The 18128-nt window shown below is 48.0% G+C and overlaps 2 long non-coding RNA genes across 7 annotated transcripts, besides 1 other annotated feature; one reads left to right on the forward strand and one right to left on the reverse strand.

Moving 5' to 3' along the window:
- Positions 1 to 323: 323 nt before the first annotated feature.
- Positions 324 to 17669, forward strand: LOC105369750 (uncharacterized). Of its 6 annotated transcripts, XR_944904.3 has the most exons (4): positions 324 to 411; positions 3365 to 3502; positions 15992 to 16139; positions 17310 to 17669. It is a non-coding gene; the product is annotated as an uncharacterized LOC105369750 (long non-coding RNA). The 6 variants fall into 6 exon arrangements; XR_001749115.3 differs by having other exon boundaries at positions 15992 to 17669; XR_001749116.3 differs by having other exon boundaries at positions 3424 to 3502; positions 15992 to 17669.
- LOC124902927 (uncharacterized) lies at positions 5992 to 8396 on the reverse strand. Its single transcript, XR_007063293.1, has 2 exons — positions 8186 to 8396; positions 5992 to 6390 (listed from the first exon to the last, which is right to left on the reverse strand). It is a non-coding gene; the product is annotated as an uncharacterized LOC124902927 (long non-coding RNA).
- Positions 7739 to 8730: an enhancer, noted in NCBI's record as "OCT4-NANOG-H3K4me1 hESC enhancer chr12:48415301-48416292 (GRCh37/hg19 assembly coordinates)". NCBI's record gives its function as "activates a minimal SCP1, AML or CMV promoter by ChIP-STARR-seq in naive and primed H9 embryonic stem cells {active_cell/tissue: H9 hESC(naive and primed)}" and the evidence as "EXISTENCE:reporter gene assay evidence [ECO:0000049][PMID:30033119]".
- Positions 17670 to 18128: the final 459 nt, after the last annotated feature.

Below are 18128 nucleotides of genomic sequence, written 5' to 3' on the forward strand. Positions count from 1 at the left end.
CTAGTAAGTAATGTGATCAGTACTGGGGTAGAGAAGCAGTAAGAAGATTTTGAGAAATGTCGGCTGAAGTAAGTTCATGCATTTGTTAAGAGCCAACTGATGACCACGTTGGTGTCTTGGGCTGCATGGCTTGTACATTTCCAGTGTGATGTGTCTGTAGACCTGCAAAAGAAGCTACCGTTCTCTTCTTTACCAGCTTGGAAATATTTCCTATGATTATAGTGCTTACAGCTTCCCCTTTCTTTCTTTCTTTTTTTTTTTTTTTTTTTTTAAGAGATGTGGTCTCACTATGTTGTCTAGACTGGCCTCAAACTGCTGGGCTCCTGCGATCCACCTACCTTGGCCTTCCAAAGTGCTGGGATTACAGGCGTGAGCCACCATGCCCAGCCGCTTCATCTTTCTTTACTCATGGTGAGTTACTCATCAAAGATGTTGCTTTATTGCTGAGATATGTGCAGGGGGTGGTGGGAAGGTTTAGCCTTCCCCAAAGGAGTATGTAATGTGTATCCTGTAGTAGGATGTGGTGAGTGTAAGTGAGAAAGTAGGAAAAAAGCAATTTTATTATCATCCTTTCCAGAAAAGAACTAAAGAACACCTACCTTGTATATTGTACTAGAGATACATATTTATGTAATATTCTATTTCTATTCGAGTGGCTTACACATTCTTGCAAACCTCATGGACATGAAGCAGTGGAAAGAACACTGGTCTGGCAGTCGGGAAACCTAAATTTTATACCTAACCATGTGTCTAACATGTTGTGTGATTTCAATCAAATTGCTTTACTCTGTGGGCTTCAGCTGTTTCAGCAGTAAAATGAGGTGGCCACACGTGGCTCTGTGATGGGTCCAGTTCCAGTTTCTTTTCCACTACCACTTTATCCTAGCAGAACAATGACTTATCAATTAACTCTGAAAATCAATCGCTGTGAAGCTAAAACAAGAGCACACCTAGCTGAAGGTTTAACTTACCCACCCAGTGTGGCTAAGGCAGATGGAGCCTCCCTCTGCTTCTGGGACCCAGCACCCCAGTCCCAGCTCTGCCTCCTGTGTCTGTGACAGCTGCCCAAGGAAAGACAGAGCAGCTATGCAGGAATAGGAAGCAGGCCATCTCAGGAACTTCCCTTTCCCCAAGGCCCAGGAAAAATGCCTAGAGAGAGAACATATCCAGATTTGTCTCCTCTGAATTGGGCTTGAAAGATGAAGGGTCCCATTAGGTAAACCTGGGCGTCTCAACCCATCTCCCAGGCTAAATGACTAATGATGGGCAGATGCTCTGACAGAGGAGGCCACCTGGAGCCCTGCCTTTTTTTTTTTTTTTTCCTTTGGTCCTGAACTATGGGCCAGCCAGGGATAGAGGAAGCATTCCTATTGCAACCTGATCATTGACCTCTTCCAAGCTGACATGCCCACTGAACCACTGGATACAACTCCATAAGACTGCTCATTGATGCCCAAGTAGACATTAATCAGTCAGTGTTTATATGGTGATCGTCTTTGGACAAAGGCACAAGTACCCTAACTGAAGCAAGCATTAACTGAGCACCTATTACATTTCTAGTTCACAGACACAATGTGGGGAGTATAAGGTACTGTTTCATAGTCCCTGCCACCAAAGTAGCTTCAATCCACATTTCAAGAGATGGCAACTTGAATAGGAGTTGAGAGACAAGGAGATGTTCTAAGACAGCACTGCCCCAAAGAACTTTCTGTGATGAAGGAGAGTCTCTCTGTGCCATCCAATATGGTAGCTACTAGCCACGTGTGGTGACTGAGCACATAAAATGTGGCTAACACAGTGAAGGAACTGAATTTCTAAAGTTTAAGTTGTTTTAAGGTTTAATTAAGCAGCAGCCTGTGTGGCTGTTAGCTACCATGTTAGACAATGCAGTGTGCTCTTGCTACTTGAAGTGGGGTCTGCAGACCAGCAGCATCTCATCACCTGGGAGCTTGTTAGAAGTACAGTAGTTCGGCCGGGCGCAGTGGCTCATGCCTGTAATCCCAGCACTTTGGGAGGCTGAGGTGGGCAGACGACCAGGTCAGGAGTTCGAGACCAGCCTGACCAACATGGTGAAACCCTGTCTCTACTAAAAACACAAAAATTAACTGGGTGTGGTGGCATGCACCTATAATCCCAGCTACTCAGGAGGCTGAGGCAGGAGAATCACTTGAACCCGGGAGGCGGAGGTTGCAGCAGTGAGCCGAGATTGCGCCACTGCACTCCAGCTTGGGTGACAGTGCGAGACTCCGTCTAAAAAAAAAAAAAAGAAGTACAGAAGTTCAGGTCCCACCCCAGACCTGCTGAATCAGAATCTTCATTTAATAAGATCCTGAGGTCATTTGTTTACATGTTAAGGTTTCAGCACTGGTCTGGGTGGGGCAGTAGTTCCCAGTCCTGACTGCATATTGGGATCACTTGGGGAGCTTTTGAAGATCCCAATGTTGTGACTGCACCCCAGAACAATTAAATCAGAATTTTTTTTGGTGGGGGGACCCTGGTCAGTGTTTTTTAAGCCCCCCATGTGATTCCAATCTGTGCCTAAGGTTGAGAACCGCTGCTCTCAAGCTATGCAGCCAGCCAAGGGCACACTCAGATGGTAAGTCCATGTGAGGGCCAACAACTCACTTCTTAGCCTCTAAATTCGCTTGTTGGACCCAGCTAACTGGGAAGCCAAAGGGACTTATTCATCCTCAGCAAGTGTAAGAATTGGCTGGGGCTTATGTTTGTTTCCAACATCTAAGTGAGATGTTCATCAGGTTTTCACAAAACGTGTCTAAATACCACACCACTGAAGGGTACAGAAGCAGCCTGCATGACTGAAGGCTGGGAAGAGTTGATTCACTTCCTCACTCTGGGACCTGGATAACCCTGGCATCCCAGAGCAGTCCCGATGAAGGGAGCCATTCTTCCTGTCCAGGGTGGAGGCCACTGTTTTTTCCAATGTCACTTGTCTTTAGCTGCCCTCCTGCAGCTCGGCAAGAATGCGAGGGGCACTGGGGCCAATGAGAAGAGGTGGGTTTTCCTGAAGAGCGGGATTCTCTCATCCTGTTGATCTGAACAGGACCTCAGAGGCCCCAGCCACTTTCTAGTGATGAATGACATTTGCAGAGATGAAGCTTCATCTCTGAGCTGGTGAGGATTTGGGAAGAGCATTCTGAAACCAGCCTCTCGGGAAATGGGTTGCATGAGCAGCCAGGCCGTCCCAAGGGGTGGAGCTGCAGCCCCCATGTGGAACATGGGTTTGAAGTCTCACTGAGAAATGTTATCCTGGACTTGGGTGATGGGGAGGTGCAAGTCATTCACTCTGGAAATGGGATTCCCTAACTAGATGATTATTAACTAATTTGTCTCAACATGTCCACAGAATGTCCTAAGCTTTGTATTCACAGCTGTTCTCATGCATTCATTCCATGCCGGCCTTAGAGGACTCGGTCAAGACAATGGTGCCCTCAGGAAGGTTACGAGAGAGCAAGCTGTGCTGCTTTGCCCATCTTGGGATGAGGTGAGAGGGCAGCACTGGTTGGGTCCCAGGATACCGGGCAGGGCACCTCTGTTGCTGTCCCTTCCTCCTATGGGGTACCAAGCTTCTCTCAGATATCCTTAGAAAGCTTTGTTAGCCAGCAGGTCGCTGGGCCATAAGCCACATGTGAATGAGGCTCTCCCTGTCCCCTGACTAGGTCTGAGCACAGTTCCAGGGGAGAAAGAGGGAGGAGGCGCGGGAGCATTGTCCCCCTCCTGTCGCTGGTAGGTGAGCTTGTGTCCAGTGGAAACAAAGAGAAAGCTGGCCAAATGTTGTTATCTCCCCCAGCTGCCTGGATTCTATTGCCATCCCTTGTCCCCATGAAGACTCCCTGTCATCTCACCCGCACTATTGTCTGGGCTGTACAATTAGCACTTTGTTAAATGTTCTCTCATTCTTCAGTGGCACTTCATTACTGAGCCATAAAACAACGGGGCCCAGCAGGTTCCTGGGCAGTCAAATGGTCCAACCCTCTTGACTTAGAGATGCGGAAAATGAGGCCTTGGGGACAATGCTGTGTCCAGCCATAATGGAGCCCACAGCAAAAGGAAGAATCAGTAATATTGATCCTATATTTATTTAAATGTCTGGTATTTTGTTCATTATAGATTTTTGCATTAATTTTTATTTTTAAAATGTTACATTAAAATAGTCTGTATCTTGATGACTGAGTATTTTTGGTGCCTCTTAAAGTGTGCACCCTGAGCCTGGCCCTGACAGGGACAATAGGGAGTTGCCCAAGGTGACACTAGTTTTGATCAAGAGGTTAAAAGAGAGCTTGGGTCTTCCAACTTGTCCACTTCCTTCTTCTCTGTCAGCTTCAAGTGCAAAGTCCTGTTTTTCCAAATAAGTAGAGAGCTCCAGCAGGCAGGGTGGTGAACTTGTGGAATAATAACACTTTCACATGGTTATTGCCCAGCCAAAGAAGCAACCATTTGAAAATTCAAGAAATTGCAGATTTATTCCTTAAATAAGGCACTGTTGTTGAAATAGTATCAAAATATTGATACTGCAATGAGATAAGAGACCTAGGAACACATGCCAGAATGTGGACCGTTGGCCCAGCCCAATCCTCTCTCACCTGCACTGCTTCAGAAACCCCTTCCTTTCCTTCCAAACCCAGCTGACATCTTTCCAAAGAGTTTTGTGTTTCTGATCGGGCTTCGCTGCACTTGTGTTTCTCCCACTCATCTGGTTCTCAGGGCATAGAACACAGCCCCAGGTACACAGAGAGTGAACAATCTTCAACAACTGGGCACCAAGGATCCTGCTCCTTTTTCTTTGTAATAGCTGCATGACATGGTCTTCTCCTGTATCGATGTACAAGCTGCCTATTGATAGACTTTCAGTTGCTTCTTTTTGTTCTCTCTCTCTCTCTTGTTCTCTCTTTTCTTATCTTTTTGGCCCCCTTTTTCTCCAGTGTTCTCCACTGCAGAGTCGTGTAATTCCCTCACAGTTTTCTCAGAGCGAGTACATATTCCCTGCCCAGCATCAGCGTTGCTTGCCATTAATGTCCTGTATCTATAGGGATGACCATGCCCCCTTGGAGGAAAGGCTTGGAACTTACCAACTTATGGAAACTTACGGAAATCATCACTTGGTATTGAGATTTTGCAGGGAACACACTCCTTAAAAATCTCCATGAGTGTGCTGTTAAGAATCCCATAAAGAGGGAGAAAGGTGGGAAGTGAGTGAAGCAAGGCTCAGCCGCCACCACGAACAAAGTGGGGTCCACTTTGCATCTGCTGCAAAGGAAGGAACGGACATTTGGCCTGTCTCCTCTTCCTTTATTGTGTCATGTTCTTTCCTTTACTCTTCTCTTTTTTAAAACAAGAAAATCATAATTTTAATATTATTTTAAAAATAGACAATACATTCACACAATTCAAAATTCCAGTAGTTGGCCAGACACAGTGGCTCATGCTTGTAATCCCGGCACTTTGGGAGGCTGAGGCAGGAGGGTCGCTTGAAGCCAGGAGTTCAAGACAAGCCTGGGTAGCATAGTGCAGACCCCATCTCTACAGAAAATTTTTTTAAATTAGCCAAGCGTGGTGACGCACATCTGTAGTCCCAGCTACTTAGGAGGCTGAGGTGGCAGAATCAATTGAGCCCAGGAGATTGAGGCTGCAGCAAGCTGTGATCACATCCCTGCACTCCAGCCTGGGCAACAAAGTGAGACCCTGTCAAAAACAAAAAAAAAATTCCAAAGGTACAAAAGGTGACGTCTCCTCCGCTTCCACTCATTCCCCTCCCCATAGAGGACCAATATTATTAGTTCTCAGGTCTCCTTCCAGAGAGATTCCAAGCATATGCAAGCAACTGTGTTTAAAAATCATCCCTCACTCCCATCTCAAATGGTAAAAATCACCCCTCTCCTCTCTTGGCACAAATGGTAATATACTCCACACACTGGTCTACACAGGACTTTTTCACTTTCTGTGTCCTGGAAAGATTCCACACCCACACGTTTCTGAAATTCTCACTATTTTAATATTGCTTAATATTCCATTATACAGATATACCATAATTTATTTAAGCAGTCCCCTTCTGATGGACATTCGGGTTATCTCTAGCCTTTTGCTGAGATAATGCTGCAGTAAATATTTGTGTATATGCCATTTTGCACTTGCACATTTATCTGTTGGATAATTTCCTAGAAGCAGAATTGCTGGGTCAAAATTGAAGTGCATTAAAAAAATTTGACAGATAAATTCCCTTTAACACTGCATGCACCATTCCCATCAACAATGTATGCCAAAGCCTATTTCACCAAACCTTTGCCAGCTACCACCGTCATGGTTTGCAGAGGACAAATCTCACCACCATAGCCACTCCTTGTATAGTAATCAGTTCTTTTGGTCCTTGCCAATCTGAAAAGTGAAAAATGCTGTCTCAGGGTGGTTTTAATTTGTATTTTCTTTCTTTCCTTTTTTTTTTTTTTTTGTATTGGTTTTGCTTCATTTTCTGGGAACTGTCGGTTCATATGCTTTGCTTTTCTATTCAACTGTTGTTCTCTTTCTTATTTGATTTACATGAGATCTTTATATAGAACATTACCTCTTGCCTATAATAAGAGTTGCAGGTAATTCTTCATGATTTTTCATTTTGACTTTTTTTTTTTTTTTTTTTTTTTTGACACAGAGTTTCGCTCTTGTTGCCCAGGCTGGAGTGCAGTGGCACAATCTCGGCTCACTGCAACCTCTGCCTCCCGGGATCAAGCGAAATCTCCTGCCTCTGTCTCCCAAGTAGCTGGGACTACAGGCATGCACCACCATGCCCGACTAATTTTTGTATTTTTAGTAGAGATGGGGTTTTACCTTGTTGGCCAGGATTGTCTTGAACTCCTGACCTCAAGTGATCCGCCTGCCTCGGCCTCCCAAAGTGCTGGGATTACAGGCATGAGACACTGTGCCTGGCCTCATTTTGGCTTTTGACTTTGTTTATGATTATTCTTTTTGTTTGCCATGCAAACACTTTTTATTTTTATATGGTCAAATTTATTGTTATTTTATTTTATGGTTTCTGGTTTCATTCATAGATTTTAAATTTTTTTCTCCTGGCTCCTTTAAGTTCTTTTAGGGTTAAATTTTTACATTTAAATTTTTGATCCACATACAATTGATCTCATTTTAAGGTATGAGATATACATCTGAACTTACTGTTTTTTCTCCCAAATGTCTGCCCAGTTGTGCTGGGACATTTATTGAAAATTCTATCTTGGCTGGGTGCAGTGGCTCACACGTGTAATCCCAGCACTTTGGAAGCCCAAGGCAGGCAGATCTCTTGAGGTCAGGTGTTCAAGACCAGCCTGGCCAACATGGCAAAACCCTGTCTCTACTAAAAATACAAAAATTAGCCAGGCGTGGAGGCACACACCTGTAATCCCAGCTACTTGGGAGGCTGAGGCACAAGAATTGCTTGAACCCAGGCGGCAGAGGTCGTGGTGAGCCGAGATCATTCCACTGCATTCCAGCCTGGGTGACAGCAAGAAAAGTCTATCCTAACTGGTTGAAATGCCATCCTTGCTCTACTATAAATTCCAGAGTTTCTTTGTGCCCATCTCAGTACTTCTGTGTCCCCTGCCATGTGTATCCAAGCACCAGCACCACAGTGCCTTTTTTTAGGCTCCATGCAGCTTAACTACAGGTCCCTGGGTCTGCAGACATGGAGATTTGCTGACCCTGAGGTGGGATGAGGAGGTAGGGGAAATAGCAAAAGAGTTGGATATTAAGATCAGAAAGCTTCTGGGCTCTCTCCAAAGAACCCCTAGCATCTAAAATGGCTTTGCTCCTATACCTCCTCTCAAAACAAAAAAAAAAAAAAAAAAAAAAAGAGAACAAAGAAGTCTGTTTCCTTATTCAACAGCTATTTGTCCAGCCTGAAAGAGCCCCTCTAGTCTAACCCTGTGCATGCTGCTGATCCTCTCCCAGAGTGCCTTCCAAGATTATTTCAGGAGCCTAGGAAGGCCCTAAGTGTGGCTTTGATCGCCATATTGGAAATGCTTCCCTCACTGGCTCCCTGGGCTCCAAGCCCAGTACTTGACAGTTGCCTGTAAACTGAGCAGGTCTTTATCTTAAAGACATCACAATGGACCCTAAACAAACACATTAACAACCACTCAGAGACCTAACGCTGGCCAATAAACAAACCCCCAGGAAAGCTTACTCAGAAAAGGTTCCTCCTTCCTGCAGCCCCTGAGGGCAGATCCCGGAGTCCCTCCTTCCTCAGCCTGCAGGCTGCTTTCCAAGGGCTCTCCAGCCCTCCCGGCAGGAATGTAATCATCTGCCCTGCGTGCCCTGCCTTCTCTCACCTTTACCCACAATAACCCAGCATGGTCACAATGCACTCAGTGCATACCTATTGCAAATAAAACAAGAAAGTAAATCTCCTTCAAAGGAACAGCTAATAGCTCCAGGCTACCAAAAACAATGTGTTCTATGGGAGCTAGCGATTACCCTATATACCAAGGGTTTAAATTTAAGGTCTTTAGATGAGCTTCGGAGGTTCCCTGAACCCCTACAATGATTTGCAAAATTTATATGTAGACTTATGAAGGGCATTTTTTCCCTAAGATACCGGGAAGGAGATTCCCTGTATCATCAGAGTTCAATATCAAAAATTTTTTTTAAATCTAGGTATCTATGGATAAAAGGATATGATGTCTAGATTTTGTTTCAAAACATTTCAGTTGGAGGACAAAGAGTGGGTGAAGTAGGTGCAGTTATGGATTAAACAAGATTGGCCATTAGTTGATACTTATTAAAGCTAGTGATGAGTGCTTGGAAATTTATTATATTATTCTGTCAAGAAAGAAGTGGAAGGAAGGAAGAAGAAAAGGAGGGAGTGAGGAAACCTTTTGCTACAGACTACGCTGAAAGAACCAGACAGACCATAGTATACATCTGCTATTCTCATAGTCCTAGCTTTATAGGAACAACTGCCCAGTGGATTGCCTGGTCAGTGTTTGAAAGCCTGGCAAATTTGTGGGTGCAGAGGCATGTTCTTCTCACTCTCACCCCCGCTCTCTATCCTCAGCATCACCCAGAGAGAGGGACCAGAATCCCTGAGGCCATCTTGGTTCATCTGCACCGTCTCTCCTACACCTCTTCACCCCTCCCCTCTCCACTTCACTCCAGGCTGCATTGGGGCGGGGAGGTGATCATCCAAGGCCCTGGCTCTCCATCGAGACCCCAGCCAGGTAGAGCCCCTATTGCCTGAGCAAGCTTGCGCAGGATGGGGCTGGAGCTGCACTATTTGGATCTTCTTGGAGTAGAAAATTCACAAATTCCAACCTCTGCTCCCAAAGCAAACCTCCCCAGCCCAGGTGGCTGCATCCTTCTCCTCCCCTCCCCCCAGTTCCCTGGGTCGCCAAGCCGGAGGCTTTGAAAACCAGCTTGTGTTTGGTTTGTGAAAGCACCAATGTTTGCAATGTTTGCCCAGCAGAGAAGGAGCATATTTTCTCCCTTCCAAATGCAAACTCAAAAGATGCTCCACCAGTTTTTCTTCAGACTTTCCACAGGAAACATAAATAAGAAAGAAAAATGACTTTAGGTGCTGAGACCTGAAATGGAATTTCAACCCTGAAGGAACTGCCTGTAACAAGCACTCTCTGTCCTTCAGTGAAGGCTTCGAGAGCCTAGGTGCATGTTTCTTTCCTCTGAGTAGCCTTCACAGATGAGGCAAGGGGAGGAGCTGAACCAGTTCTTAGACCTGACTCCCAGCTAGATCTTCAGCCCCACACAATGAATGGCCGGTGACTGGCACAGCAGCTGAGATTCCCTGGCTACAGTGTTCTTTTTTATCTTTCTTGATTGTGTTAGGGTAGAACAAATGAGGGTGCTGCAACCCGAGAGGCCCAGCCACACTGCAAGCCAGCACAATCAGAGTGTGAAGTGTGGACACGCCCCCCTGGAACACAAGGCCACAGTTTGCCACCTGCTCTGCCCTTGTCTCCATCTCGGAAGAAGGACATCCCTGATCTGTGGCCTCTGTCCTCACGGATCTTATAATTATCAGACAAACACAACCACAGAGAGGCTGGAAGGCAGTGCTTCAGCATCACACATATATGCATCGGTGACCAGAGTTCTGATTAATCTTAATGCACAGATAATTGGAGCATTTCTTGCTCACAGCTTATAGCCACCAAATGACTGCTTCCAGGTTAGGAGTTTGCAGAATATGTACACACACGGAGCCCTACAAAAGGCTCCAGACCCAAGAAATACAGGGTTGAAGTCAGTGTGGACAGTTCTAATGCAGCTAATACATTCTAACTGATTTGTTGTGAGCTAAGGGTTCAGTGTTTACACTTCAAGGTCACTGTTTCTGTCTCCTGACATCTGAGAACCTTTCTTCTTCTTCTTTTTTTTTTGAGACAGAGTCTTGCCGTGTCATCCAGGCTGGAGTGCAGTGGCATGATCTCGGCTCACTGTAACCTCTGCTTCCCAGGTTCAAGCGATTCTCTTGCCTCAGCCTCCTGAGTAGCTGGGATTATAGGCACCCCCCGCCAGACCTGGCAAATTTTGTATTTTTAGTTTCGCCGTGTTGGCCAGGCTGGTCTCGAACTCCTGGTCTCAAGTGATCCACCCACCTTAGCCTCCCAAAGTGCTGGGATTACAGGCGTGAGCCACCGCGCCTCACCCAAGAACTTTTCTTCTTAAGGTGTTTTCCTTTCCCATAGCATTCTATCTTTGGATAGGCCCAACGAGGCCATTGAGCATCTACCCTTTTTACAAAACATATTATCAATCTTATAGCCCATATGTTTAGTGATAAGTCAACTAAACAAAGCAAGGGACCCCACTGGAAGGTGCTTGTGGGAAGTGTACCCTTCCATCTAGGACTTCACTTTGATGTACCAAATTCTGAGAAAGACCCCAGAAGCCATTTCCTTCTTGCTGAGGTTTATTTATCTTGTTTATCTGAAGCCAGGGCCAATAACCCAAATGGCTTTCAAATGGCTACAAAAGTGTCTCAGCATTCGATTAATCAGTCCCATCACAGACAAGTCAACTAACCTGCAGACCCACGTGCTGTACTCATAGTCGTTGCTGGTTCTGGCAGGGGTGATCTGGGAGGAGGTATTTCCCGGAGGTGTTTCCGAAGGGAGAGGCACTAGCTGAAGTTGGCTCTGAGATTCGAAGCGGAGGAGGAAAGGGAAGGTGGAGTGCTGATGCTGACAAGGTGAGGAAGAGGAGGAGTAGAGGTTACCAGCGCTCAGAGCATGGGTTTTGGAGGCACACAGATCTGTGCCCAAAGGGCTATCAATGCTCTTCCACTTCATTGCTGAGCAACCTGATGTGTTCATACGTTCCCTGATGTGTAAAAGTGGCACAATACTTGCGTCTACCTTATAAAGTGCCTGCAAGCACTAAGACAAAATGTAGACAGAGCTTAATGCAGTGCCGGACTCAGTCAACAAATAGCAAATGGAAGTCGTTCTCATTAAACAGCGAAAAGGAAGTAAAAAGGAAGACAGAGGAAGACAAAGGGGAGATGGGGAGGGGATGCCGTGGGAGGCTGTGGGTGGGGTGCAGAGGCTGACACTGCAGACAGCAGCCCCTCACCCAGCTCCATCTCTGGGCGCCTGGGACAACACAGCTCTCGGTCCAGACAGGCTGCTCAGATGTTTATTAAGAAACCACCCATAAAAGTTATTGGAAACTTTACATTTGCAGCATGGTCTCTGCACACTGCCGAGCTGCCACGGCTCTCAACAAGGCCTCATTCACGGCCCTAGGCAGCTCACTTGCCTGCCCCCAGCCCCTGGGTCTCAAGCCCACCAGGGTGCCTCCCAGCCCCCGCCCCCAGCCCAAGCCTGGCCTCCTTCCCTCCCTTGGGTCTGAGTGATTTTCTGATTTGCCTTTTCCAAATGTGAAATCTTTGAATGAGGTCACTTCAACTGGAGAGCAAGGGATAGGCCACAAGACAATGTTTCCTAAGTGCAAAGGTCCCTGGGTGATTTTAGGTAGAACTTGGATGAAAGTTTTGCATTCTAATAGTGTTATATATAGTATCTATATTTTAATGTACATGTGTATGTATTTTGGCAGGGACCAAACCTGTAAAACAGATTTATTTTAATAAGTATTGGAGGAAAAGGTAGAATATCAATCCCATGTTACAGAGTTTTCATTTCAAGTAAACTTGAGTAAAGTAAAAGAGAATGAGAAAGTTGACTTAAGGAAACCATAAAAACAATCATAGTCTAGGTGACCCTCAGATCTAGCAAATCGATCTGGGAACACTGCATGTGATCTCAGCCCTCACCTAGAGCTGTCTGGACACAGCAGTCTGATGGACACAATTTTGTTCTACACAGGGAGGTCCTGCCCCGGGCTGGTCAGAGAGGGGGCCTGCTCCTTATCCAGAGAGTTCTAGTGACTTGTCCCGGCTCCCTGGGTCATGGTTCTGCCTGTCCCCTCCAGTCTGCACTTGGCCAGACTTTTCTACTGAGACACTGTCTACAGGCACAGGGCAGCTCCTCAGATCAGCACCCAAGGCCCTTCTCATCCAGCTTTCCTGTCTCTGTCCCTGGTTGGCTTCTCCACCAGGCCCAGTGTACTCAGGGCCAGGACGGCGTGGCTCCTCTCTTTGGTTTCCCCTCTGCTTAGACTGCTCTGCTGACACGATTTGCCCACTGGCCTGACTTGTTCCTGCTCCCCCACCTTCTCCCAGGCTCCCAAACCTCCCCCTCCCTGCAAGTGGGGCAGATAGTACAGCATCATGCTCGAGTTCAGGCTCGAGTTCTAATCTTATAACTACTGCTTGCCAGCTCTGTGTGCTTGAGCCAATTGCTTAACCTCTCTGTTACTCAGTTGCCTCATCTGTTATGGGGGGCAATGGCAGCAACATCTTCCTCCTCCCAGGTTTGTTGGGAGAACTGAATGAACAGACAGTACCAGATTCACAGTAACAGCAAGTACACTGCATGGCTGTGCCTTCATTGGAGTTTAGTTCTTGCCAAGAGCAGCCTTTCAGCACTCATTTTCCAGGGAGTAGGTGCTTGATCTGTTGGCTGATTATGGATGTACCATGAGGTGTTTTCTACATACAATCTCTTGATCCCTGAGCCTGAGAGCTGAGTTTCTTTCCTGGATCTAACAGCCCTGTGGAAAGTTGGAGAGCACTTATTCCTGGGCTATCGCACAGCCGTCTCTTCTCTGGAAGGTCTGGTCTCCAGGGCTCTTCGTGGAGCTCATCTTCCTCTGTCAAGTTTGGCCTAGGAGACGGAATCCTCCAGGAGCAGGCCTGGCTGGGGATGCACATAGACCTTCCCCGGCACAGAAAGGACAGTGCCTGGGGACACTCAAGGCCATCTTCTCTGAAGCCCACCCACGTGGACAGACTAGAGAGAAGCCACTAGCACACACCCAGTGTCTCCTTGTGCCAGACACTAAGTTAGGTGCACCCTACAAGGTCCAGGCCCTGGTCCTTCAGCCGTTGCTCAGGTGGCTACAATGACAGCTCCAGAGCCTGGGGATTGGGGCGAGTTCTCCAGAGCCTGGGGGTTGGGGTGAGTTCTCCAGCCGTCAGCCTGTGGCCACCCTGGAGCATGCTCAGAGGGAGCGGGCTCCAGCCTCCTGCCTTCCCTCGCCCCAGGCCTCAGCCTTTTCTGAAAGAAATGTTGTGTTCCCTCGGCCCTCCCCCCTTGCCACATCCCCTTCCTCCCACAGAGCCCGGGTCCCCCAGGCTACAGTCCAGCAGTCCCTCTGTGAGCAGACTTCCAGTGACACATGGCTTTGTTAGAAACCTCATTAGCAGAGACAGAAAGGCGAGAGGCAGCTCAGAGAGGCATTCCAGGTGTCAGTTAAGAGGGGCCGCAGGAGGAAAAGGCCATTAAACCACAACTAAGGTCAGCCCCCGGTAGAATGAAAAAACAATAAACTGAGACCTTGGAGAGTGGTGGGAAGGTAACTGGGGAATTGAGGGAGGGTACCCCTGCCTCAGGCTGGGGAGGGAAGGCCTTGGGTCCTGGAAGGGACACCAGCTTGTCTTGCCTGATGCTGGGAGTCTCAGAGGCTGTTCTGTGTAAACTCCTGGAGGCAGGGACTGGGCCCCAGGAGACTCTGAACCCCGCGCCCAGCGCACGCTCAGCACACCACAGGCACTGGGCACGCGCCTGATGAATGAGTGGAGATTGAGCCTGGCGCACAGGAGGAGGCTGGAGTGCTTGCCATGCATTAGATGCTGGGCTCGGCACTGCCTGTCTGCAAACTCTTCGTACCCCAAGACGTGAGTATTATTAGCTCCCTTTTAAAGACAAGCAAACGTAGACACTAGAATATGTTATTTTGGGGCTCCCCAGACTCTGGGAATTCACTAGAACTCTACCTATTGATACTTGGAACTTCTGAAACAGACACATTCCTTCATTCCAGAATTAGTCATAAAAAGGCTGAATGAGGCCGGGCGTGGTGGCTCACGCCTGTAATCCCAGCACTTTGGGAAGCTGAGGCAAGCAGATCATGAGGTCAAGAGATGGAGACCATCCTGGGCAACATGGTGAAACCCCGTCTCTACTAAAAATACAAAAATTAGCTGGGCGTGGTGACGTGTGCCTGTAGTCCCAGGTACTCAGGAGGCTGAGGCAGGAGAATTGCTTGAACCCGGGAGGCAGAGGTTGCGGTGAGCCGAGATCGCGCCACTGCACTCCAGCCTGGTGACAGAGCGAGACTCCACCTCAAAAGAAAAAAAAAAAAGGCCGAATGCCTGTGGAGGCTAAGGCAGCACACTGAAACTCACTCCTGAAGGGTCATTAGAATGATTGTCTGGTATCTGGAATTCCCTGGCCTGTCAAGGATGATGGGGGCTGCCCTGAGCTGGGGAACATGCTCGGCTGAGGGAGGTGGAGGACAGTGGCAGGCCTGTGTGCACTCCCAGCGTTGCCTCAGTGAGCTGTTTGCCTTCACTGGGCAGGGACCCACAAGGGTCATGTATTTTTGTCATGCCTGACGGGGAATGCACATGATTTATGAAGTTTTTTTTAACCTGAGGCTTCCTCATAAAAGAGCTTTGAGAAGACTGCAGCCAATCTGGTTATGAAAGGCCTTCCTTTCTGGGATCTGTTAGACAAGATATTGTTGACTGCCTGCCCTCAAGAATGAGGGACCACGTGTGCTCCACCCTAGGTCTGGAATGGCCCAAGACCCCAGGAAAACTGCACGTGGATTTGTACCTTGTTCTCCTATCCCATCTCAGGCTTCTTGCCCTCTACACCCTCTTAGCTGACATTTCTACCCCCAAGAAACCTGCCCCAAGAGATCTCTGAGTCCCTGATCCCTTATGCCCTTGACATCAAAGGTCCAAGCTTCCCTGGACAAGTCACTTGACCTCACTAAGTCTCTTTTCTCATCTGCAAAATGAGCATAAAAATATCCACCTTGAAATCTTCATAGTAAGGGATTCAATCAATGTCTCACCAGCTGGAAAGCTCTCTGAGCTCTCTCTCTCTCCATGTGTCATTTAATCTTGTCTCCCTAGCACCTAACAGAGTGCCAGGCACATAGAGGCCAATACTAAGTGGCAACTTGTAGAAATGACTTCTACTGAATTCAGTGAATTCAGTGATGAGGAATAAGTAAAATGTGTTTGTAAATTGCAAGCACAGTGCCTGGCACTTGGTAAGCATTTAGAAAATTTGGGTTACGCCTGCATTTGAATCTGACTCTCCCCTACAGATGCCGGACCCAAGACTCTGGCCCCAGTGGTGAGGCAGGGACCCCAAGGTTCCAGCCATCTCCTCCTGGCCTGACTGGGGCTGCAGGGGACCTGTGTCAGTCTCCCTCCTTGGCGCCCCCTCCCCCATCCCAGACCCCTGGCCTCTTGATATCCCGGCAGCAGCCCCCACAGCCCCTCTGGGGTGGTGGGCGTCCCTGTGTCGGCACAGCTAGGCTGGGCCCCTCTCCAGGGAAGGGGCTGAAGGGTGTGAAGGACTGGTGTGTATGACTTTGTTTATTTTCTCTGAAGAATCCTGCCTGAGCCCTGCTATAAAAATAACCTGCCTGGAAACCTCATCTCCAAGGGGTAGAAAGAAGCTTTTGTATCCAGGGAAGCTGCTCTAACTGCCTCCCTGTACCTTCGCCTCAGCCCATGCATCAAGGAGGAGCCAGCCAAGGTGATGAGGGGCCAGGGCAAGGGAGAGGGATGTGTGGGGAGGGAGGAGGGGACGGAAGGGCAGCTCAGCAGCCTCTTGCCCTGAGCACGGCAGAAGCCTCTCACTTGTCTGCTCGACCCAGGAAGATCCAAAGGAGGAACTGAGGGAGAGAGAGGGAAAGAGGAAGTCAACAAGAGAAAAAAACACTGGATGTTGAGAGAGACAAGGAGGCCAGGAGACAGAAGATCAAATCCAGGACAGAGGAGGGGCATGGGGAGAGTGGGGAGGAGAGTGAAGTCAAAGGAGAAAGAAAACCAAGAGACGTGTATGCAGAGACACAGAGCTCAAGGGATCAGAAAGAGGCTGTGGCCATGTTTACAGACGTAGCTTAGCATGTGGTCCCCACCACCAAGGGAGAAAGCAGGCACAGCCAGGCTGTCCCTGCCACCTGCTGGGTTCCTGCTCTGCTGCACAGCCCAGCTTCCACTCTGGCTCAGGCTGTGGCAGAAAAGACAAAGGTCCCCCGAGCACCCACTATGGCCAGGCCCTGGGTGAGGCATGAGACCAAGCCCCACTAAGGCTTCTCAAAGTGTTCCTTCCCAGGAGCCAGGCCTGATGGCACGGAGCAAGTCTGCACTGTCACCAAATTCAGGAGGCCTGGATTCAAGTCCCAGTTCTCCTGCTTTTTAGCTGGGTGATCTTGTACAAACCACTTAGAATTTCCCAGCCTGGTTCTCTTATCTGTAAACCATAAATAGTAAACCTCCCTGTCTACCTCCCGGGGCTGTTGAGCAGATCTATGGAAGCATATCTGAACAGGTTCTCCAAGTTGTATGGTGCCAGCAAGACAAGAGGGAATGACCCATTCCTTTAGCCATATTTCTCTAGGTAGCCATCTTAGGATCATGGGTGAGCCATACGGAGAATGAACCAACATAGGAAACTCCTATTACCTCTGTTTTCACAGTAGAGGAAACTGAGGCTTAAACAGGTTAGTAACATGCTCACCATCGTGTATTAATAGCTCTTAGGCAACAGAACATGAATCCAGGTCTCTATATTCAGAGTCTGTGTAGACCCAGAGTGCTGGGCCTTCTCTCCAATCTAATGGCAGAGGCTGCCCAAGAATGACCTGGGACAGTCTGCTCCACTTCCTTTAAGGATGAATTAATTTCCAATTGTTCTATGCAGGCCAGACCTATCTCTCCTTGGAGACTGCACAAGCAGGTGAGCATTAAAGGAAGGCGGGAGGCCAATTTTTGCCCAGCATTAGGAAGAACATTGCTATTGTTCCAGCAATGAAGTGAGCTGCCTGAGAGAGTCCGAGCTCTCTGTGGCTGCGAGGCCAGCAGGCCAGGACTTGCAGAGACCACTGGTGCCTATAGGAGGCACATGCTGGGCTTGACAAAAGAAAGCCCAACATTTTATACCCCTTAAGTCATCCCCAGCCCATGCCTTGTTTCCCCATCCGCACAGTGGTTGGAGCAAGACTAGATGAAGGCTGAGGTCTTGTCTAGCTCTAACTTTCTAGAATTCTGGAATTCCTGAAGGCAGGACTCCAGGCCTCAGGGTCTGGCCAAGAGAACAGAGACGTGGCTGTTTGTCCAGCTTGGTAGAACAGTGGAGCTTATTGAGCTTGCGGTTCCCTGAAACAGAACCAGTCAAAAGGCATACGCAGAGAAGGTAAATTCATCTGTGGGTCTGGTGAGAGTCACTGAAAAAAATGTAGTGCTTGAGGACTGTCCAAGGAGAGCCAATTTTCAACTCATAGCCTGTGATGCTGCGCCCAAACAATGAGAACAGCACACTGGGCTTCATCCAACCACGGCCAGAGGGAAAACAGTGATCTTGCAGATGATGTCCTCATCGATAGCACAGTGACCAAGCGGCCCTGCATGGTGGGGGCCCCTTAAAATGGTTCCCCTTCCCTTGCAGGCCTGGTCAGGTGGTGTTTGTAAAGCAAAGGGAACCCTTTTAGAAATTTGCCTTGAATTAAACGATTGTTGTTCA

The sequence above is a fragment of the Homo sapiens genome, chromosome 12, assembly GCF_000001405.40.
Source record: "Homo sapiens chromosome 12, GRCh38.p14 Primary Assembly".
Taxonomy (NCBI): domain Eukaryota; kingdom Metazoa; phylum Chordata; class Mammalia; order Primates; family Hominidae; genus Homo; species Homo sapiens.